At 51.0% G+C, this 23,049-nt stretch overlaps 3 protein-coding genes and 2 pseudogenes across 4 annotated transcripts in view, besides 4 other annotated features; 3 read left to right on the forward strand and 2 right to left on the reverse strand.

Annotated features, from left to right (window-relative positions):
- The window catches only part of TSPEAR (thrombospondin type laminin G domain and EAR repeats), a 213,680-nt gene that overhangs the window by 183,562 nt on the left and 7,069 nt on the right, over nucleotides 1–23,049 (reverse strand). The window contains exon 2 of one of the 2 annotated variants that reach the window (NM_001272037.2): nucleotides 9,091–9,152. The exons of the other annotated variant lie outside the window; for it this stretch is intronic. The gene's annotated coding sequence lies outside the window, so the exon portion shown is untranslated. The remainder of the gene's footprint in view (nucleotides 1–9,090; nucleotides 9,153–23,049) is intronic. 2 annotated transcript variants of the gene reach the window in all.
- Nucleotides 122–709, reverse strand: KRTAP12-1 (keratin associated protein 12-1). The gene has a single exon (NM_181686.2). It carries the CDS (start codon nucleotides 667–669, stop codon nucleotides 379–381), a length of 291 nt encoding a protein of 96 aa, NP_859014.1. The 5' UTR covers nucleotides 670–709; the 3' UTR covers nucleotides 122–378.
- Nucleotides 4,904–5,185, forward strand: KRTAP12-5P (keratin associated protein 12-5, pseudogene; annotated as a pseudogene).
- Nucleotides 15,578–16,257: an enhancer, noted in NCBI's record as "H3K27ac-H3K4me1 hESC enhancer chr21:46116947-46117626 (GRCh37/hg19 assembly coordinates)". NCBI's record gives its function as "activates a minimal SCP1, AML or CMV promoter by ChIP-STARR-seq in primed H9 embryonic stem cells {active_cell/tissue: H9 hESC(primed)}" and the evidence as "EXISTENCE:reporter gene assay evidence [ECO:0000049][PMID:30033119]".
- On the forward strand, nucleotides 15,718–16,590 carry KRTAP10-12 (keratin associated protein 10-12). Its single transcript, NM_198699.1, has one exon. It carries the CDS (start codon nucleotides 15,748–15,750, stop codon nucleotides 16,483–16,485), a length of 738 nt encoding a protein of 245 aa, NP_941972.1. The 5' UTR covers nucleotides 15,718–15,747; the 3' UTR covers nucleotides 16,486–16,590.
- Nucleotides 16,258–16,937: an enhancer, noted in NCBI's record as "H3K27ac-H3K4me1 hESC enhancer chr21:46117627-46118306 (GRCh37/hg19 assembly coordinates)". NCBI's record gives its function as "activates a minimal SCP1, AML or CMV promoter by ChIP-STARR-seq in primed H9 embryonic stem cells {active_cell/tissue: H9 hESC(primed)}" and the evidence as "EXISTENCE:reporter gene assay evidence [ECO:0000049][PMID:30033119]".
- On the forward strand, nucleotides 20,580–21,347 carry KRTAP10-13P (keratin associated protein 10-13, pseudogene; annotated as a pseudogene).
- Nucleotides 20,920–21,655: an enhancer, noted in NCBI's record as "H3K27ac-H3K4me1 hESC enhancer chr21:46122289-46123024 (GRCh37/hg19 assembly coordinates)". NCBI's record gives its function as "activates a minimal SCP1, AML or CMV promoter by ChIP-STARR-seq in naive H9 embryonic stem cells {active_cell/tissue: H9 hESC(naive)}" and the evidence as "EXISTENCE:reporter gene assay evidence [ECO:0000049][PMID:30033119]".
- Nucleotides 21,656–22,391: an enhancer, noted in NCBI's record as "H3K4me1 hESC enhancer chr21:46123025-46123760 (GRCh37/hg19 assembly coordinates)". NCBI's record gives its function as "activates a minimal SCP1, AML or CMV promoter by ChIP-STARR-seq in naive H9 embryonic stem cells {active_cell/tissue: H9 hESC(naive)}" and the evidence as "EXISTENCE:reporter gene assay evidence [ECO:0000049][PMID:30033119]".

The following is a 23,049-nucleotide window of genomic DNA, read 5'->3' on the forward strand; positions in this document are numbered from 1 at the left end:
ACCTTCTGATGAGCACTGGGTGAAGGGATCACTGAAGAGGGTTTAGCAGCAAATTCTATGTAATCAGCAGAATAGATAGCGGGGAGTATAGAAATAAAAAAGAGAGACAAGAAACGCAGAGTTGCATGGGGAAAGCTGGTTTATTTGACTCTCATGGGGTCAGAGAATGACTCTGGGACCCCAGACTTCCCTGGGGGGATAGGCAAGTTCAGCCAGGGCTCCAGATCATTCTATTATATTCTCGATCCAGAATTCAGAGGGTTCACTGAGCATGCTTTTCACCTGCACCATGTGCAGAAGACCAACTGAGGACTCATCCAGGGAGTGTACAGGTGTGGCCTCATCTGCACTGGGAGCAGCGGGTCTGGAGATTCATGCTCAGCAGCAGGAAGGGGTGCTGCAGGAGATGGGTCTGCAGAGGACGCTGGTGCAGGAAGGCTGGCAGCACCCAGAGGACTGGCAGGAGGGAGCCGCATACACGACGGGCCTGCAGCTCACGGGCACGCACACAGAGGACTGGCATCTCACGGGCACACACACGGCTGGCTTGAAGCTCACGGGCACGCACACGGAGGACTGGCAGCCCACGGGGATGTAACAGGATGCCTGGCAGGGGCTGGGCGCGCAGCAGGCTGGCTGGCAGCCCGAGGAGCAGCTGGTGTGGCACATGGTGGCGTGTGGCTGGATAAGGTCGAGGCAGAGGGCAGTGATGTCTGGGGATGGCCTCCCTGGGTAGCCTTTATACCTGGACCCAGGCATCCCCACAGCACAGAAGCACACACCTGTTGTCTTCCTTGTTTTTCTTCCTCAAGGCTGTTTCCTGGAACTCAGTTTTCTGTCGTAGATGATGTTTTTTATCTGGCCCTTTGTTTCGTGACTAATTGCACCCTCTTCAAGCTCTTGTTACATTTGGAAACCTGCCCAAATTTATCAGTGATGCACAGGCAGTTTTAGCTCCACCTGCCTGATATCTGCCTCCCTTCGTTAGTTCTACGCTGAAGCAGACATGAGTGGTACCCAAAAGAGCTCCTCGAACCGCAACTTCTGTTGCATCAACCAGAAACTTTGGGGAAGAGACCAGAACTGAATATAGACAATGAAATCATACTGGGGAACCTGCTGGAGTGAGTGATGCAAAGCTGGCTACTCTATCAACTATACAGTTGAGATTTAGGAGATGCTCGTTTTCAGGCAGCCGTCAACCAGCAGTGCAGACTGTGCTTCCTGAGAGAGAAGAAACTTAGGAGATAAACTCCCATTTCCCAGCTCTCTGCTGGGGCAGGCTTCCAAAATGCAGTGTCACCTTCCAAAATGCAGTGTCACCAGCCGGAGTCAGAGCAGAATACAGTGACCCAACTCTGCCGAGGAGGAAGGGGCCAGCGCTCAAGCAGCTGAAGCCCTGGAGTCCGAGGAGCAGAGAAGCGGAAAGAAGGATCCGTGTGGAGAGCAGGCCCCACACTGTGGAAGCTGACTGTGAATCTGTGGAACGGGGCAGGGCTGTGCATTCCCAGGGCAAGGCAACCACAGGCTCACCAGAGAGAAGCTGCTAGAGGATTGAGAGTGAAGCCCCCCTCCAGTCCCCACGTCGACATCCAGCCGAGACCCCCTACAGCCCGGCACCAAATGAGTAAGGACCACAGACTACAGTGAGACCCGCCTAGGCCAGCCCGAACAAAGCCTAAACCAATTCAGAATAGGATTTTTAGGGAAGACAGTTTGGAATGTGAGTCCCACCAAGATACAGAGTGTTCCAAGTTGTAGATGCTTCCCAGAGATCCACCCTAGCAAAGTGTTGAACAAAAACTGCACAAGATTAAGGTCATTCTCCAGTAACTGACGGCTAGAACAAAAATCAGAAACATGATACAGCTCAGAGTCTGTAAATGCATTATTATGATACCTCATACACAATCAAAATCATCAGATATTGACCAGGCACGGTTGTTTATGCCTGTAATCCCAGCACTTTGGGAGACCAAGATGGGAAGATTGCTTGAGGCTAGGAGTTTCAGACCAGCCTGGGCAACATAGTGAGACTCTGTCTCTACAAAAAAATGGTTAAAAATTAGCCAGACATGGTGGTGCATGCTTGTGGTCCCAGCTACACGGTAGGTTGAGGCAGGAGGGTCTATTGAGCCTGGGAGGTTGAGGATGCCATGAGTTATGATCACACCACTGCATTCCAGCCAGGGCAACAGAGCAAGACCCCGTCTCAAAAAACAAATCATCAGATATTAAAAGATATAGGTAAATTTAATTCACTGTTAAAAAAAATAAACCTGATATGGTCTAGATATTGGACATGGCAAATGATGACTGTAAGCAGCTATTATAGACATCTTCCAAAAAATCCAAGAAAACTGTTCAAATAATTAAAGGAAAACATTGTCTTCATGAATGGATAAATAGGGAATCTCAGTAGAGTAATTGAAGCTATTTTTTAAAATGGGAATCCTAGAACTGAAAAGTACAGTAGTTAGAAATTTTAAATACACCAAATTTGACTTCAAAAATCAACAACGTCCAAATCCAGGAATCTCAGAAAGCCCCCAGTAGGATAAATAGGAAGAAAACCACATCCAGGCACATCATGAAGTGATGAAAACCAAAAATGAAGACAAAATCTCAAAAGCAGTGACAGGAAGACACTTTACATACAAAGGAACAAGGATAAGAAAAACGCCCTGGCTTCTCATGAGAAACAGTGGAGACACATCTTTAAAATGCTGAGCAACAATAACTGGCAATCCGGAAGTCTACATCTATGAAGAACGTGCTTAAAGACTGAGACTGAGGCCGGGCCGGGCACTGTGGTTCACACCTCTAATCCCAGCACTTTGAAGGCTGAGGCAAGAGGATCACTTGAGCCCAAGAGTTGTAGACCAGCCTAGGCAACAAGCAAGAGCACATCTCTACAGAAAATTTAAAAATTAGCTAGGGGTGGCGGTGTGCACCTGTAGTCCCAACTATTCAGGAGGATGAGGCAGGAGGATAGCTTGAGCCCAGGAGTTCGAAGCTGCAGTGAGCTATGACTGCACCATCACACTTCAGCCTGGGTGACCAAGCAAGAAGGGTCTCAAAAAACCCCAGAAACTGAGATTGAAGTGAAAATCTGTTCAGAGGAACAAAAGCTGGGAGAAATCCTCCCCTGCAGATGTGCGCTGCAGGCAACGTGGACAGATGTGCTTTAGGTTGACTAGGACGAGGCCAGGTGGGCCCTGACCTGCAGGAAGGAGTAAGGGCCAGGCAACGTGCACGGATGTGCTTTAGGTTGACTAGGACGAGGCCAGGTGGGCCCTGACCTACAGGAAGGAGATGGGGGAAGGTAAAGGAGCAGGTAAATATCAAAGATGCATCCTCATTCTTCTGTAGTCAACTTGTAAGACAGCTAACCTTTAAAATGGATTACTTGGTGACTAGGTCACATAGGAACATGTGATCACTGTGGCTGCCCCAATTCTCTTGGTTTTTAAGTGTGATTCTGAACTATAGCAGTGAAAGGAGTTGCCTGTGACAGGGCTGAACTTGTGGCCTCGCCCGGCTTGTCCCTAGGCCTTAAGGTCACTCTCACATGGCCACAGATCGGCTCTGGGTCCATAGACTTCTAAGTTCTGTCCACAGCTCTGAGACCCCACTTGGTCTTCAGCCTTGGAGGGGATTTCATTAACATGGTGTCTGACTTGTCTGAAGGCTTCTTGGCAGGAATCACCCATATCCACCACCAGCAGGCACAGGAGGACCCACACAGGAGCAGAGGGTGCCCCTGGGAGCTGCCTGGGATGGAGGGAGTAGCTCTGCCGTGAGAGATGGCTCATACCCCTACTGTGTGACACCACCGTAGAATAAAGCGCTGTGGCCAATCCATCGAGAGAACAGAGCTGGAGTGTGAGGAGGAGCGTGCCATCCACACTCCTGCCCGCTGCTTCCCAAGTTCAGGGGCATCCTGGAATTTCACACCAGCTCCTCACTTTCCCCCAAGCTGCCTCTGCAGGGGTGAGACTGACCAGACCCACAGCGAGGGAGAGGAACCAGACATGAGTAGCTCAGGCCCTCCTCTGTGATGGGTCCTCCTGGGCTCCGTCTGCAGAGGAGGTGTCCTGTGGCCATTAGTGCTACTCGTGGGAAGTGGGCACTTCTGAGGTGTGGTGTCAGGAAGCCCACTGTGGTCACACGCCTGAGCCATGCTCTGCAGACGCCAACGTGGCTGATGTTTTCATCCATCTTCTCTGTCCCAGCTGGTTCAGGACTTCAGGATGAGTCACTTATTGAACCCTCTACCCCCGGTATAATTTGGCACAGTGGTAATGACCATGGATCCCAGAGTGAAACTAAGCAGTCCAGATCCCTGCACCTCTGCAGTGGTGCAGACACGCACCCATTGTGCAAACCCTCTATGACTTACAAATTGCACATCTGTAAAATGGGGTATCAGCCACCCCGAATGCTGGCAAAGATCAATGAGATAATCACAACCTGGCACAGTGTTAGACCTCTGTGCATTACTGTTACCTCAATAATCATCATTATTATTCCACAATATGGAGCCCAGTAGCTTGGCTCTCATTACTTGGGAAGACCCTGATGATGACTGAGCTTCTCAGTCAAAACGGGGCCCCTGGTGCAGTGAGTGTGACTGTGTTTGTGTGAGCTCCAGATGGCATTTGCAACAGGGGGACCTTGAACATCCATGAGGTGGACCCCTGGCCTCACTGACAGCCCTTCACCAGCTCCCCTCGGCTCTGTTTCCAGGAAACACATGGTCTGCTGAGTCATGGGAACCCCCAGCTCAGAGGTTCCTGAACTGAGTAACCTCAACAAGAAAACCCAGAAAGATCAACAGGAGAGGGCAGAGGAGGAAAACCCACCCAAGGAGGAAGATGCCAGGGGCCTTGCTGCCCGAATGCCCATGACCTGCCCTGGTTCTATGCTGCATCTCCACCACCTGCTGCCCACCCAGGGCTGTGGGACCTCCTGCTGCCACCTGGCCACCCCCGCCCTGCCCCCCGCACCGTGCAGCTCTGCTGTGCCGGCCCCTGTGTGAGGCATCCACCTCCTGCCAGCTGGCCTGCCGCATGCTCAGGTCGGGCCTGTGTGTGGCCGCCTCCTGCGGGTCCTCCAGGTGCTGCCCGCCCTTCTGCCCCTTCCCTGGCCTGCAGACCTGTGACCTGCCACACCGGCCTGCTGCTGATGGATTATCCTGATAATCAACTCTCTGCTATTGTTTAGCAAAAGCCTTTCCCTTTGTCCTATTATCAGAATCCCCCTGCACTTCTCAGTCCCTGGTGACAGATCCACCTCCCACTGTGGCTGGAATTTCCCCTGAACGTTCTTGTGCAGGAAGGCTTAGTTCTCTATCAAAAATAAGTCTCTCTGCTCCTTAATAGTGGGTCTTTTTAAAAATTTCCCTGAAGCTGTTTCTCGTTGTCCTTTGCCTTCCTGACCAAGACAATGTCAGCATGGGGTTCTGTCCTTGGTCACTGCTCAGAGGTGGAGCTTGACCCTGGGATGTCGGGAAGACGCTCTGGGAAAAGCTGTGGCTGAAGCTGCTGAGTCCAAAGGGGGTGTCTCCTTCCCAGTAGTTTCAGACGAGGATCTCTCAGCCAGGACTCTTCTGGAGCCTGGAAACCAAGCCACAGGACGAAGGGCTGCGGGAAGAAGGAGGCTGAGCCTGGGGAACCTGGTGGCTGCCTTCGGGTGTCAGAAGGGCTTTCCCCCAGCACGCGTTTCCCCAGAGGCTGGATTGGGGCCACTGAGGCGGTGTGACAGGGAGGTAGATTTCAGCTCAGCAGGAGGAAGGGTCCCCTGAAAGCCAGGGCTCCCAGTGACACACTGGGCGCCTGGTGATTACTCAGCTTCTGGGTGCTGAGGGCTCTGAAAGGCAGGCACACTTGTCCCACTGTATCATAACAGAAAAAACCGGAACGGCCCATGTGCCCATTAGCTGGTGGATGGATAAACACAGCGTGACAGAGCGGTACAGCGGAATCCACACCAGCACTGAGGGCGGCATTGCTTACGCACACGGCAACAGGAACGCATCGCAGAAACACCGCGCGGGGTGGGAGAGGCCGGCACCAGAGGACTTGCTGTATGACTCCATCTGAATGAGTTCTAAAACAAGGAGAACCAATTCATGCTTTAAAAAATTCTCAGCAGTGGCCATCTCTGGGGGATTGGGTGAAATTGACTGGGGAAGGCAGAAGAGTTCTGGAGAGGATGGTAAAGTCCAGGGTCCTGATGGGGGTCCTCTCCCAGCCAGGAGGGAAGCCAGGACCACCCTCTCCCCTGGGCCTTGAGGGGGCCTGGGTGAGCTGTGTTGACAGATTGGCAAACTTCGTCAAATGATACCCTTGAGATTTGAATCATTTCACATGCAAAACAAATGCTGAACTCGAGTTAATGGCAGGTTGCTGCAGTGTGTGAGTGAAGTGTGCGGTTGCTGCACCTTCCCCTGCAGTGCCTGTGAAATATGATGCACTGACAGAGGCCGGCTCGGGGGTGAGTATCCGATCAAGCACAGTGAGTGACGTGCCAGGTGCAGATCCAGGGCCGGGCGCGTGGATGCCCACTGTTTAATTTTTACAACTTTTCTGTATGTTTCCGTTTTTCATAACAAAATGAAAATAAAGATAGTTTTTAAAAAGTAGTTCAGAAGATGAAAACAGTAAATGTTTTCATAAAAAATAGAAGCCACACATGAGATCCTTGCTTTGGAGAATTGGGCTATGATCAGAGGGAAGTGGGGTGCAGAGAATTGGGGTACCCAGCATTCAGGGAGAATAACGGTGGATCGCAGGTCAGCCAAATGTCCCAGAAGCAGCAGGACAGTCATGAGGAAGCCAACACTCAAACAGTGTGGCTGCCCCAGGGCAGGATGGCAGACCCAGCCCACCATTCCCATCTCCACCTTCCCAAGACCACCACAGGGGAGGGCAAGTGAGTTTACCAAGGATGAGGGACTCCAGCAATGAAAAGGAAAGAGACGGCCGGGCGCGGTGGCTCACGCCTGTAATCCCAGCACTTTGGGAGGCCGAGGAGGGCAGATCATGAGGTCAGGAGATGGAGACCATCCTGGCTAACACGGTGAAACCCTGTCTCTACTAAAATTACAAAAAATCAGCCGGGTATGGTGGCGGGCGCCTGTAGTCCCAGCTAGTCAGGAGGCTGAGGCATGAACCCGGGAGGTGGAGCTTGCAGTGAGCCGAGATCGCCCCACTGGACTCCAGCCTGGGCAACAGAGCCAGACTCTATCTCAAAGAAAAAAAAATGAAAAGGAAAGAGAAGGGTGTGTGTGGACTGCCGACCAGGGCAGAGGTGGGACCCACCTGCCTGGGAGCCCCACACAGCTCTGCTTCCCAGCAAGCCCAGCGGAAGGGGAGTGGGGAGGGCTGCAGTGGAGAGGGGGACTGAAGGTGTGAGCATGTCACCCCCTGGCCAGGACCCCTAAAGGCCCCGAGGGGCACCAGGCACAGTTCTCTCATGCTGGCCTCGGGCTCCCATCGCTTTTACTCCAAAGTGAGGCTGGCGATGGATGGACCTGCGCCCCGAGCATAGAGCACCAGGCCAACCTCCCCACTCAGGTGGGGGCTCCTCCAGCAGAAAACAGACCACACACACAGCAAGAGAGGAGCCCGGGCAGCCCGGGACCACCCTCACCCCAGCCAGGAGGGAAGCCAGCGGCACGAAAAGCAAGACCAAGATAAACTAACATATCACTGCACCCAGGGGAAACCAATGGTTTAAGGAACTTAAAAAATCCTAAATACGGCCGGGCACGGTGGCTCACGCCTGTAATCCCAGCACTTTGGGAGGCCGAGGCGGGCGGATCACGAGGTCAGGAGATCGAGACCATCCTGGCTAACACGGTGAAACCCCGTCTCTACTAAAAATACAAAAAATTAGCCAGGCGTGTTGGCGGGTGCCTGTAGTCCCAGCTACTCAGGAGGCTGAGGCAGGAGAATGGCGTGAACCTGGGAGGCGGAGCTTGCAGTGAGCTGAGATCATGCCACTGCACTCCAGCCTGGGCGACAGAGCGAGACTCCATCTCGAATAAAAAAAAAAAAAGTCCTAAATACACTCAGATATTCAGGAAGATGTTACATCTACCAAACAAGGACAAGATGCTTTGAAAATGAACAATTAGAACAATGATCCCTAAAATGTCACAGATATTAAACATCTCATTGATATTTAAAATTAAACAGAGAGGCTTGAAGGTGAGTGTATTAGGGTTCCCTTAGAGGGACAGAATAGAATGAATATATATATATATATATATATATATATTTTGGGGGGGGTTACTAAGTATTAACTAACATGATCACAAGGTCCCACAATAGGCCGTCTGCAAGCTGAGGAGCAAAGAGATCCAGTCTGAGTCCCAAAACTGAAGAACTTGGAGTCCAGTGTTCAAGGGCAGAAAGCATCCAGCACAGCAGAAAGATGTAGGCTGGGAGGCTAGGCCAGTCTCGCCTCTTCACATTTTTTCTGTCTGCTTTATATTCGCTGGCAGCTGATTAGATGGTGCCCACTCAGATTAAGGGTGGGCCTGCCTTTCCCAGCCACTGACTCAAATGTGAATCTCCTTTGGCAACACCCTTACAGACACTCCCAGGATCAGTACTTTGCATCCTTCAATCCAATCAAGTTGACACTCAGTATTAACCATCACCATGAGGTTGAGAAATCGCTCTGATTTGGAACAAAACGTCAAAGAGATAAAAAAGAAATGAGGAAAAAATACCATAAATGACTGATCTAGTGAATGTAATCCCTGATGTGTGGGAGTCCCACAAAGCGGGACAGTGAGAATGATGAGCGGATGCACAAATAAACTCCTAAAGAGGAGCATTTCCCAAGGCTAAAGACACAGTCTTCAGGCTGAAAAGAACCAAGTGATGCCAAGAAAAATGAACGGAAAAATCCTAGATATGTCCTCTGTTGAAATGATATAACATCAAAGATAACAAGTGGTTCCCATGGGCTTCCAGAAAATCAAACAAACAAACAAATGAACAAGTCACCCACAAGCAATAAAAATCAGATTAGCATCAGACATCTCATCAGCAGCACTGAAGGCTACAGACTCACAGAACAACACTCATGATGTCCGGGAGGTCAGCATTCAGCCCACGCTTTCAAAGATGAGCATGCTGTAAATAAACAGGTTAAACAGAAGATAAGCAGTTCTTAAGATAAGCAGTAAACATGACAGCAAATTATTAACCATAAAACTATTAAGTAAGCATATGTGTTTTTCTAAGGCTAAGTAGCATGTATTTTATCCTCTGGGGGTGTGGTCATTTGCTTTTCTACATTTTTGTTTGTCTGTTTGTTTATAGAGAAGGGGTGGTCTTGCCATGTTGTCAGTCTAGCATCAAGCTTCTGGGCTCAAGTGATCCTTCCACCTCAGCCTCTCAAGTAGCTGGGACTACAGGTATGCACCACCATGCCAGGCTCTTTTCAAAATATTTTAAAGTAGTGGAAATATTTTTTCAAACTGAATCTGACCTAGAAGTCAAGTCTGTAAAACAGATTAAAACACAGCTTCTCTAATTTAAAGTGGGATGGAGAATCCAGACACCTATTAGTTTGTCCTCCTCCCCTCCCTTCCCTTCATCTCCCCTCGCCTCCTCTCCCCTTCTCTCCTCTCTCCACACTTCTCTCTCTCTCCCCAGCTCACCCCCTTACCTAGGTAACATCTGAAATGTCTCCTAAGAACATGATTTTACAACCTTGTTGCTTTGAGTCCCTCTCTCTCCCCAAGCTCTAAGAGATTACGGAATTAGCATGTGCATCATTAGGCCAGGGAACAGAGCTGATAGCAAAGAATGGCACTCACCCCTATGTCTCTAACGTATAACTGTTAACAACATATGTTGTATCAGCCATTACTCACAGCTGACTTTCTCTATAATAAGCTTATTTTTTCAAGAATCCTTATGTCCCCATCCGTACACTAAGACCCTAAGAACTGAGAGACAGAACATCAAGGACCTATTCATCCATATTGTTCCAATTGCAAAAATGCATGAGGACATTATGTATTGATAAAAGATTCAACTCATCAAAGATATGAGAATTAGAAACATATATGCACCATACAAAGAGTCCCCACATATATGAAGCAAACATTGACAGAATTCAAGTGAGAAATAGTTCTACAATAGTTGGAGACTTTAATATTTCATTTTCAATAATGAACAGAACATCTAGTCAGAAGGTCAATAGGAAATAGAGAACTGAACCCACTATAAACCAGTTACTCACAAAAGATATGTATAGACACTCCACCCAACAACAGCTTTACTGGTGAATATCACCAAACATTTTTTTAAAATTTAACAAAAACCTCCTCAAGTTGTGAAAGAAAAAAATAGAAGGATCACTTTCTAACTCACTCTGTGAAGCAAACATTATGCTGATACCAAACCCACATAAGACATCAAAAGAAAAGAAAATCACAGACGAACATGACTTGTAAGTACAGATGCAAAAATTCTCAACAAAATACTAGCAAAGTGATTCCAACAGCATATTAAAAGGATTATATACCATGACCAAGTTGGATTTATCCCAGGAATGCAAAGATAGCTCCAGATTAAAAATAATCAATGTAGTATACCACACGAAGAGAATGAAGTGAAAAAACCCACATGATCTCAATTAACAAAGAAAAGGCTTTGACAAAGTCCAACACCATTTTATGATTTTAAAACACTCAGAAAACTAGAAATAGAAGGGAATTTCCTCAACATGCTAAACAGCATGTATGAAAAACCCACAGCTTGCATTATACTTGACAGTGAAAGACTGAAAGCTTTCCCCCTAAGATTAGGAACAAGACAGGATGTCCCTTTTCACCACCAATATTCAACATTGTACTGGAAGTTCTAGCCAGAGCTATTAAACAAGAAAAATAAATAAATAAAAGTCATTAAAATTGGAAAGGAAGAAGTAAAATTATTTCTATTCACGGGTGACATGATCATGTCTATAGAAAATCCCAAAGAATCCACAAGAAAGCTACTAGAGCTTTATTAAAGAATTCACCAAAGTTTCAGGGTACAAGATCAACATACAAAAATCATGCATGTTTCTATACACCAGCAATGAAAAATCTGATAAGGAAATTAAGAAAAACAATTCCATTTCAATGGCATCCAAAAGAATAAAATACCTAGTAACAAATATAACCAAGGAGGTAAGAGACTTGTACAATGATAACTGTAAAACATTGCTGAAAGAATTAAAGAAGACCTAAATAAATGGAAAGACATCCATGTTCATGGATTAGAAGACTTAATGTTGTTAAAATGGCAGTACTACCCAAAGAAATCTACAGATTCAATGCAGTCCTTATCAAAATTCCAAGTCTTTTTTTTTTCCAGAAATGAAAAAGCTGATCTTCAAGCACATATGGATTATAGGAACTCAGAATAGCCAAAACAATCTTGAAAAAGAGGGACAAAGCTGGAGGATTCACACTTCCTGATTTCAAAACGTACTACAAAGCTACAGTAATCAAAACAGTGTGGTACTGGCCTAAGAACAGACATATGGACCAATAGAATAGAACTCAAAGGTCAGAAATAAACTCATACATTTATGGCCAACTGATTTTCAACAAGAGTGTCAAGATAATTCAATAAGGAAAGAATAATCTCTTCAACAAATGGTGTTAGGAAAACTAGATTTACAGATGGGAAAGAATGAAGTTGGGCCCTTACCTAATATCATATATAAAAATTAACTCTAAATGGATCAATGCCCTAAATATGGTAGCTGGAACCATCAAAATCTTAGGAGAAAAGATGGGAAAAATGCTTTATTCCCTTGGATTTGACACTAGGTTCTTAGATATTACGCAAGAAGCACCAGCAACAAAAGAAAAAATAAATTGGACTTCATCAAAATTTAAAACTTTTTTGAATCAGAGAACACTGTCAAGAAAGTGAAAAGACAATCCACAGAATGAAAGAAAATATTTGCAAATCATACATCTGACTGTGACTCAACAACAAAAAGACAACCCAACTAAAAAATAGGCAAAAGATTGAGTAGACATTTCTCCAGTGAAGGTATGCAAATGGCCAATAAGTACATGAAAAGATGCTCAACAGTATTACTCATTAGGAAAATGGAAATCAAAACCACAATGAATGCTACTTCACACCTACCAGGATGGCTGTAATTTTTTTTTTTTAAAGGAAAATAACAAGTGTTGGCAAAGATGTGGAGAAATTGGAACCCTCATACTTTACCAGTGGGAATGTAGAATAGTGCAACCACTGCGGAAACATTTTGGTGGTTCCTTAAAAGTTAAACATAGAATTACCACATGACTCAGGAAATAAGGAGCACCCAAAAGAACTAAAAATAAGTAAATAAATAAAAAGAGAGAGGCTCAAATAGATCCTTGTATGTCAACATTCTTTGCAGCATTATTCATAATAGCCAAAAGGTATGAATAACCCAAGTATCTACCAACAGATGAATGGATGAATGGATTCACACTTCCCAATTTTAAAACCTACTGCAAAGCTACAGTAATCAAAACAGTGTGGTACTAACATAAGGATAGACACAAAAAGCAATCAAATCTAAGAGTCCGGAAATAAAGCTATTCATTCATGGTCAACCGATTTTCAACAAGAATGCCAAGACCATTCAATGGAGAAGGAATCATCTCTTCCCCAAATGGTGCTGGGAAAACTAGATTTCCACATGAAAAGAAACATGTGGTATATCTGTATGAAGGAATATTATTTATCCATAAAAATGAAAGAAGTCCTGACACATATTGCAACACAGATAAACATTGGAAACATTGTGCCAAGTGAAATAAGTCAGTCACAAAAAAAACAAATATTGTTTGATTCCTCTTACATGAAGTATCTAGAACAGGCAACTTCACAGAAACAGAAAGTAGAATAGAAGTGACCAGTGACAGTGGGGAGAAGGAAATGGGGAGTGAATGTTTAATGGGGACAGAGTTTCAGTTCGGGAAGAAGAAACAGTCCTAGAGGTGAACAGTGGTGGTGGTTGCACAGCACTGTGAATGTACTTAACCCACAGAATTGTTCACTTAAAAATGGTTAAAATGGTAAATTTTATGCTATGTATATTTTACCACGATGTTTAAAAGATAAAAATAGTTGGCTATTTTATGTTATATATATTTTATCACAAAAAAAACATTTTTAAAGGCAGTCAAATGGAAGAATAGGCAGTTTTAGCACACATGTATTGATAAAGTCATAATAAACAACAATTATTGAGTGCCTATCATGAAAATAATGCACACAAGGCTGCAGGTTGTTGACCTTGCTGAGTCTCAGAAAAGTGGCTCGAGTAGCTCGTGGAGGAAGTGGGGAGAAGGCGGCGCTCACAGAGCTTCCCGTGAGCCGGTGCAGCATGAAGATCGAATAAACCTGCTGAGGACACTCCGGGTGGAATGGCGTATCTTCTAGCTCTTCAATGTCCCTTCTGCTCACACAGAGCATGGAGGGTCTCCCCTGGACTTGCCCCAAGGGGGGTCGTGCTTTGCCCCAACCCTCCAGGCCTCTGCCACAGGCTGGAGGAGCTGCTTGATGCAGACACTTGACCTCGGAGGTGTTTAACCCAGATGTCCCCAGATCCTCTGGCCTTCTGAGGTCACTCTTTATAATCCAAATAAAATAACAAGAGACAGTGCCCTCCAAACTGTGGGGAACCTATCCAGCCTCCCCCGACCCCACCCCAACTCCTGTGGCTTTGGGGCATTCACACTCTCCTGGTCCTGTCCTGGCACCTTTGCTCCCACTGGACTGGACGCTGTGCTGTCTCTCAGGTACGCAAGTGCACCACAGACTCTGATATGTACAGAACAGGCCCCTGGGTCTCGGTCCCCAAAGCACCTCTTCTCAGACCTTCTACTGAGAGGTCGGGGGTCGGGTCATGACACACAGCAGGAAATGAATGCACGACTCAGGCCAGAGGCATCAGCTGGTCCTCCCTCCCTTGGGCCTCTCCCTGGCCATGCCCCAACCTGGCTCACACTCCCTCAGGGTTGCAATGACCTCCGATCCCAAGACCCTTTTCCCAAGTCCAATTTTTCCTCCAAGTTCCTGGTCCCTTGTGGTGGGCCAGTTTATTCAGCTTAGGAGAAATGATTGTTAAATATTCAGAATCTTCTCAAGCAGGTTGTTAAACTGCTCATAGCTTGAAATCAGCCAGGATATGAATATTTACACCACGGATGACAGCTAACACTCCACGCCAGGGTTCTCATCTCACCGCAGCGGGACAGGGGTACACGCCACACACCAGGGTTTCATCTCATCACAGGGTAATGTTTACAACGCAGAGACCAGCAGACACCACACACCAGGGCTTTTCACTTCAAGGGGCCCATCCACCACACACCTCGAGCCCTCACCTGCTGGTCACTGCCTGTGGGCCTGAAGCCCTCCAACTTTCCAGGCAGAGCCAAGCAGCTCTCCCTTAATCTCAGGATCCTCCAGGCTAGATGAGCCCTGGGGCTCTAGAGTCCTCAACCACAAAGGCTGCCGAATGTCTTCTTCTCAAAATTAAAAACAATTCACTTCCCATAAAGAAATCTTTCAACCTCCTAGAACAACCCCTCTGAACTCTGAACTGGACCTTCCCTTCACAATAATGTTTTTTCACATTCCCACTCATAAATAAACCCAAATCCTCTCTCTTTAGATGGAAGGAGCTCCTTTTTTATAGCTAGACCCAACCGTCTGGGCACCCATCAGATATTTTCACATCAATCCCACACCGCCATGTCTAAACCATGCTCCGCCCCGCTCTTCTCACACAATCTGGGTTTCTCATTCTGATTTCCCATGTCCCTTGCTCTCTGAGGCAGCAGAGGTTAATGGCTAAGAACATAGAATACGGGCCTGCCAGGCCTCCAGTGTATGCTCCTCTGCCTGCTGGTGCAGCCTTTTGCACAAGTTCTTCATTGTGACTCAGTTTCTCCATCTGTAGAGTGGGGATAATAACAGCCCCTACTTTACAAGGTTGATGTATGGGTTAGTGAGGTCATATTTACAAACTTGCTCAGAATACTTCCTGACACACAGCAAGACCTATCACATGACTGTTTGCCGAAAAAAATAAAAATAAATCCAGCTCCCAAGCCATTCATTGGTCTACGGATTCAAGATAAAGAGAATATAAAACAAGAAGAAAAACATCCTTGACTCAACTGAGTGTGAAGAAATTAGGGGGAAATAATAGTAAGCAATACCAAATGACAATCACAGAGGGGCGGCCAAGGGCTGCTGACCTTCTGTGGTCCACGCAGAGGCTGGGCTCCAGCCCATTGGCCGGCTCCCTCCACGGCCCCACGGTCCCGCTCAGTTCTGACACCTGGGGAGCTTCAGGAGCTAAGCTACGCTACACGGTTCATGGTGAGCATCCTCAAGAAACCACCCCAAACACCAACAAGGAAAGAAGCCTGGGGCCTTGTGCTGGGACAACACACACACCCTTGAGAGATATATAAGCTCCTAGCACCCAGACACTCACTCACTCCCTCCTTCCCATCCAGCACCCAGACGCTCACTCACTCCCTCCCTCCTGCCCATCCAGCACCCAGACGCTCACTCACTCCCTCCCTCCTGCCCATCCAGCACCCAGACACTCACTCACTCCCTCCTTCCCATCCAGCACCCAGACACTCACTGTCTCCCTCTCAGCTCCCCCAGCTCAACCCCCAGCACGGCTGCATCCACCATGTCCGTCTGCTCCAGCGACCTGAGCTATGGCAGCCGCGTCTGCCTTCCTGGTTCCTGTGACTCTTGCTCCGACTCCTGGCAGGTGGACGACTGCCCAGAGAGCTGCTGTGAGCCCCCCTGCTGCGCCCCGGCCCCCTGCCTGAGCCTGGTCTGCACCCCAGTGAGCCGTGTATCCAGCCCCTGCTGCCGAGTGACCTGTGAGCCCAGCCCCTGCCAATCAGGCTGCACCAGCTCCTGCACGCCCTCGTGCTGCCAGCAGTCTAGCTGCCAGCCGGCTTGCTGCACCTCCTCCCCCTGCCAGCAGGCCTGCTGCGTGCCCGTCTGCTGCAAGACTGTCTGCTGCAAGCCTGTGTGCTGTATGCCCGTCTGCTGTGGGCCTTCTTCTTCATGCTGCCAGCAGTCTAGCTGCCAGCCAGCTTGCTGCATCTCCTCCCCGTGTCAACAGTCCTGCTGTGTGCCCGTCTGCTGCAAGCCCATCTGCTGTGTGCCTGTCTGCTCTGGGGCCTCCTCTCTGTGCTGCCAGCAGTCTAGCTGCCAGCCAGCTTGCTGCACCACCTCCTGCTGCAGACCCTCCTCCTCCGTGTCCCTCCTCTGCCGCCCTGTGTGCAGACCCGCCCGCCGCGTGCCCGTCCCCTCCTGCTGTGTCCCCACCTCCTCCTGCCAGCCAAGCTGCGGCCGCCTGGCCTCCTGCGGGTCCCTCCTCTGCCGCCCCACATGTTCCCGCCTGGCCTGCTGAGGCCTCTGCTCAGGCCAGAAGTCCAGCTGCTGCCAGGCATGTCCCCCAGGGCCACTGGGCACTATGAGTCCCCCACCTCTCCCACTACTGGCCCCTCGGCTGCTCTGGTGTCTGTCTCTTCCTTGGAGATGCGTGCACAGCCTCTCTTCCCCTAAGCCCTGGGGGCTCCTGCTAAGCTCCAGATGACCCTGCCTCCACCCACTCCCCCGGCTCTTCCAGACCACTTCCCACATTCCAGGCCCCTGTGGTCTCGCCTCCTTGGAAGCTGCTGTGCCTCCTCTGGCCATTGTAGGACCATGCTTGGAAGTCCTAATAAACACCCTCCACGTAGCCCGGCTGCACTTTGCTCTCTTCTTTGAGTCATTTCTGGTTGAATTGCTGACCAGCCCGACAGGAGGCCAGGACACAGATGCAGCCTCCTGGGGCCCTCGCGCCCAGTCTCAGCCCTTCTCCAGGCCCCAACACACATTAGTCTGGCACTGGTGCCGTCCCCGCAGGAATGTACCAGTCCCAGGGAGGGTCAACGGAGCGGCCGTCCCCACCCCAGCCCAGCAGGCAAGTCCGTCTCCCAGGGCCCTGATGGGCGAGTGTCAGAGGTGGCAGCGGGGTCACTCGCAGGCACAGCCGTCCCCACCGCCCCACATTTCCCCGCCAAGTTGCCAGTCCCTGCCAAGTGGGGGCTGGCTGGACACGGAGTCCTGGCTGCAGACAGAGAGGATGGCTCGCTCCACCTGCAGCCCAGCCCCTCAGTCCTCACAGGGAGATTCAGAGTCCCGGGACAAGCGTCCAGGCTCAGCTGCCAAACCTCTCCCACCTCTCCAGATCCAGAAGCGGTCCACTTCCTTCTACTGCCCCTACAACTCCCGTGTCTGAAGCCTACTGCCCAGATCATGAATATCTTGAAGTCTCTTCTAACAGAAAATAGATAAAGCTCCAGCCGGGGCAACAGAGTGAAACCTTGTCTCCATTAAAAATAAAAAGGCCAGGCGTGTGGCTCAGGCCTGCAGTCCCAGCATTTTGGGAGACTGAGGCAGGAAGATCACTTGAGCCCAGGAATTCGAGACCAGCCTGGCCAACATAGTGAGACCTTGTCTCTAAAAATACAAAAATTAGCAGGGCATCATGGCACGCGCCTGTGGTACCACCTACCCGGGAAGCGGAAGCAGAAGAATCACTCGAGCCGGGAGGCGGAGGGTGCAGTGAGCTGAGATTGTACCACTGCACTCCAGCCTGGACGACAGAGTGAGACCCTGTCTCAAAAAATTAATTAATTAATTAAAGTAAAAAATACATAGCTGGGCATGGTGGCACGAACCTGTAGTCCCAGCTACTCAGGAGGCTGAGGTGGGAGGATCACTTGAGCCTGGGAGATCAAGGCTGCAGTGAGATATGATTGAGCCACTGCACTCCAGCCTGGGTGAGAGTGAGACACTGTCTCAAAAAAAAAAAAAAAAAAAAAGGGTTGGGGAAAGAAAAGGGGTGCAGCCGAAGGCCCCTCCCTCCTGACTGCAGCCTCTGACTCAGTGCTGCCTTGCACCTCCCAGAGGAAGTGGGTCCTGGTGACCCCATCTCACCCCCAGCTCCTCCAACACACCGTTCTTCTCTTCCCTCTTCCCACAGCTGGCCAAGAACTGCGGTGCTCAGGTCGCTCTCCCTCTGTCCCTCACTCTGCCGGCCAGCCCCTGCTGCGCCTGGCCCTGTAACGCCGTCTCCCTGGGCTTCTGGGATGCGTCTGTCTCAGCTCCTGCACCCACTCCTCTGACTTTTCTCTATGTGCGTTCTCTCCCTGCCCCCAAACTCCAGGTCTCCAACCAGGTGCCTCCCCTGGGCTCCCAGCCACGCTTACGGCGGCCTCCAGGTGTGCCCCCAGACCGAAGGGAAGCTGCATCTGGGCACATCTGAAGCTGAGCTAGCGTCTTCCTCCAAACTGCCCTCTCCCCTGACCGGCTGGGGCAGCTGGACTCCACCCCGTCCCCCGCCCTGCCCTGGCCCTGCCATCTTCACTGAGCTGCCAGATATCTTTGGGGTCTGCCCTGCCTCTCCCCTCCACCATTTCTTTAGCTTAGGGTGATTTGCTAAACAGCTCTGGGCCAGCAGGGCTGCCAACAGTCCTGTCCACAGGTAAGAGCATCCTAGGAGACGCCCCGTGCTTTGAGAGTGCCCCATGACAACAGAGATTCTTCTACAGAATTTTTTTTGGAAGAAAGCATGTTCTTTGTCCAAGAGAAGATGCTGATTTTGGAGAAAGATAGGAAGAACTTGGTGACTTCAGGCGACACTCTGCCTTCCAGTCCAGGGTTCCACCACCAGGAAGGCTGGAGAGCAGGAAGAAAAGGGCTGGCAGCACAAAGGCTGGGGTCGTGCTGGGTGTCACGTGTGCTTGGCAGGGAGAGCCGTTCCTCTGTCCTTGCTGGGGCCCCTCCTCTGCCGACCCCCAGTGCAGTCCCTCAGCCCATCCCTGCAATCCCTCAGCGATGAAGGACGGGAGAGAGGAGGCCAGTCCACACGAGAAGAGCCGAGGGAGCAGAGACTTCCCAGAACCCCCCTTGCCAACCAAACAGCACACAGTGAGAGGGGCCTGGAGGCCCCGGGGGTGCCGCATGAGGCCTTCTATTTTGTCAGAAATTCACGATATCCATGAAGTCCGTGGTTTGAATCTGCCTTGGGGCCGGGCAGTGGGAACTTCACGGTTAAAGAACTCCTGGGGGCCCTGAAGCCTCAGCCCCTCAGCAGTGTCTGGTTAAACCCACCTGCAGCAGGGAAACCTTCCACCTAAAGGCATCCCAGGCTTGCCAGGCTTGAGAGGAAATTCAGGTGTCACTGTTAAGCCTGATACTGCCTCGTGGCCAATAAAAACAGTGGCTGACCTTCAGGAAGCCTTCGTGACCTGTTTTGAACCACGTAATCCTCACGTGGCCTTGTGGGGTGAGTGGACCATGACCCCATCTTGCAGAAAAGGAAACCGCAGCCCATAGGGTGATATTCCAAGGTCGTGCAAGCCAAGTCAGAGGTGAGAGGTGGACAGAGGCAGAAACCAACAGAACCCTGGGAAAGGGTGTGGTGGTGAAATGACACCCCCCAGACAATGTCCCTACCCTCATCCCTGGAACCTGTGAATCTGCCCTTATAGTGAGGAAAAGCACTTTGCAGATTGATTAGATTGCTGATTAAGATCCTTAAACATTTTTTAAACCGACACATCATTATTGTACATATCCATGGAGTTCCCAGTGACGCTTCCATAGGGACAGCGCGGAGTGGTCGGGCCGGGGTGCCCAGAGCTCCCACCATCTCAAACACGGACTGTTTCTCTCTGCGGGGAACATTCGATACCTTCCTTCCAGCGACGTGAAACGATATATTCTTGCTGATTTACAGTCATCCTACAGTGCTATCTAGAACAGCGGTCCCCAACCTTCATGGCACCAGGGACCAGTTTTGTGGTAGACAACTTTTCCACGGACTGGGGAGGGGGATGGTTTGGGGATGATTCAAGCGCATTACATTTATTGTGCACTGTCTTTCCATTATTACATTGTAATTTATAACGAAATAATCATACAACTCACCATCATGTCAAATCAGTGGGAGCCCTGAGCTTGTTTTCCTGCAACCAGATGGTCCCGTCTGGGGGTGATGGGAGACAGGGGCAGACCATCAGGCATTAGATTCTCACAAGGAGCAACAGAGACCCCTGGCATGTGCAGTTCACAGCGGGGTTCGTGGTCCTCTGAGGATCCAGTGCTTCCACTGATCTGGCAGGAGGCGGAGCTCGGGTGGTAAAGCTCACTCACCTGCCACTCCCCTCCGGCTGTAAAGCTCACTCACCTGCCACTCCCCTCCGGCTGTAAAGCTCAGTTCCTAACAGGCCACGGCTGTAGTGGTCCCCGTCCCGGGGTTGGGACCCCCTGCTATAGAACACTAGAACGTGTCCCCCCTGAGCAGCTGCAATTCTGTGTCTTTCGGCAAGTCTCTCCCTATCCTCCCTGCCCTGTCCTTCCACACTCCAGCATCTCCTGCCCTGTTTTCCTTCCGTGAGATCCACGTTCTCTGTCTTCTATCTCTGAGCCAAGTTCAGAGCCCTGAGATATGAGATGATCCTGGCTTAGCCAGAGAGACCCTAAGTGCCGTCACACACGTTCCTATGAGAGGGAGGCAGGGAAACTTCACCCAGGAGAGGCAGCGTCCACATGAGCACAGGGGTGGAGACTGAAGCGATGGAGCAGAGACCACCATCCACCCCACAGAGCAAAAGCTCCAGAGGAACAAAGGGGCCTCCCTGAGCCAGTGCTTCCACCAACTCCTGGCAGGTGGACGACTGCCCGGAGAGCTGCTGCGAGCCCCCCTGCTGCGCCGCCAGCTGCTGTGCCCCGGCCCCCTGCCTGACCCTGGTCTGCACCCCAGTGAGCTGTGTGTCCAGCCCCTGCTGCCAGGCAGCCTGTGAGCCCAGCTCCTGCACGCCCTTGTGCTGCCAGCAGTCTAGCTGCCAGCCAGCTTGCTGCACCTCCTCCCCAAGCCAGCAGTCCTGCTGTGTGCCCGTCTGCTGCAAGCCTGTCTGTTGCAAGCCCGTCTGCTGTGTGCCTGTCTGCTCTGGGGCTTCCTCCCTGTGCTGCCAGCAGTCTAGCTGCCAGCCGGCTTGCTGCACTTCCTCCTGCTGCAGACCCTCCTCCTCTGTGTCCCTCCTCTGCCACCCTGTGTGCAGGCCCACCTGCTGCATGCCCGTCCCCTCCTGTTGTGCACCCGCCTTCTCCTGCCAGCCCAGCTGCTGCCACCCAGCCTCCTGCGTGTCCCTCCTCTGCCGCCGTGTGTGCTCCCACCTGGCCTGCTGAGGCCTCTGCTCAGGCCAGAAGCCCAGCTACTGACGGGCACGTCCCCCAGGGCCAGCCAGGCTCAGGTTCCCCCCAACCTCTCCCACTGCTGACCTCTCAGCACACGCACTAGTACACACCGCACTGGTACACACCACAGTGTGCAAGCTGGCTGACCTCATACCCTACAACCACGGCTTACCTATCCACTACCTCCAAGCCAGGCCCAGGAAACCATGAGACAGCCCTCTCCTATTATTGAAGGGCCCCGGGTGTTCCCTGGTGGAATATTCCCCCATAGCCACAGGAGGTCCCTGGCCCCCCCTGCCCTTCTCCTCCAAGCCATTGGCCGCCCTTGCCCACCACGTGCCTTGCACAATGAATAAACTGGCCTTCCCTGCCTCTGCGTGCTCCTCTCCCAGCCTAGTGTTTATTTCATTCTTTCTCGGGCCCTCTATGCAAACACACCCCTGGCTTCGGCAACCCTAGAGACGAGCCACGTCATGGGAGCATTTCCAGTGGCGCTGAGTTCCCGGCTCCCATCCCCACAGCCCAGGCCTCCTGGATCTGCACCTCCAGGCAGCTCTCAGGGTGACCCTGCTGCAAATCCAGGATTCAGGTGGTGATGTCTCTGATGGCACATCTGGCCAGAGGGCTCCTTGGCAGGAGGGGCCTGGTGCCCCCATGCCTCCCTGTCCCTGGTGAGTTTGAGGAACCCCGGGGACAGGGCCCAGGTTGGCTTCTGTGCAGGGCCCTCTGCAGGCACAGCTGAAGCTGAGTGTCGCTGTGGTCAACCAGCTCCTAGGTGGGCTGGGGTGGGGCCTCCCTCTCCCCGGGAGCCCTGGCATTTTACTGAAATGGCCAACGCCTTCTGTTTGTGCTTGTGAAGGCTAATGGCAACACCTCTTCTGTGGCCCCAGGTCTAGCCGGGCGTGGCAGAGGTCAGAGGGAAAGAAGCCAAAGGGTACATGACCTAGGGATCCCACACAATGGGATCTGGGGCCCAAGCTGGCCACTCTTTGGGGGTTTCCTTTGGGGCCAGTGTTTCCAGGATCCCCAAGGGTCCCACACCCAGCCTCACTCCCCGCCAGAGCCGCCTCCTCACCTGCTGTCCCCTCCACACCACACCAGTGCCACCGCCCAGCTCCTGAGTCCCCCCAGCTGCAGTGGAGCTGGAACCGGCTGGGACTGAGAGGGGTGCACAGGGCTGCAATCCCAGGAGGCCCTGAAATCCAGCAAGATGTTCCCAGGACCCTTAGTGCAGGTCTAAGATCACCTGGCCTCTGTCTGCCCTGGAGAGTGTGGGGCAGATGCCCTCAATTGGGCCAGCTTTTCCAGTGCACTCTCCCTGCAAGGACCCTCAGTGAGAGGAGGGCCCTCCCGCAATTAGAACAGGGTTGGTGTAAATGGGTTCAGACAGACTGGATCCTACCATCCTCTTCCTAGCCCCTGGGGGTGGGGAGGTAGCTGGGACCCTGCCCCCTGCTTCCCTGGGTACCCCACCCCCCCACCACTCTCCAGGGGTCCCTACCATGGAACACGGGGTGAGAGAAGCCAGTTTCCCACTTCCCTGGCTGTTGGGGCCTGAAATTTTCTGTAGCCTGTCAGTCCAGACTTTACCCCCTCTGTGACATTATCAGCCTCCTTCTAGCCAAGTCCACCCCCAACCCCCAGGGAACCCAAACCGTGCGGGGTGGCCCTGACCTGCCAGAGCTGTTGGCCTCCAGCTGGCGGGTAAAACCCACGGCCTTCTCAG

Source organism: Homo sapiens, chromosome 21, assembly GCF_000001405.40.
Source record: "Homo sapiens chromosome 21, GRCh38.p14 Primary Assembly".
Lineage (NCBI taxonomy): Eukaryota > Metazoa > Chordata > Mammalia > Primates > Hominidae > Homo > Homo sapiens.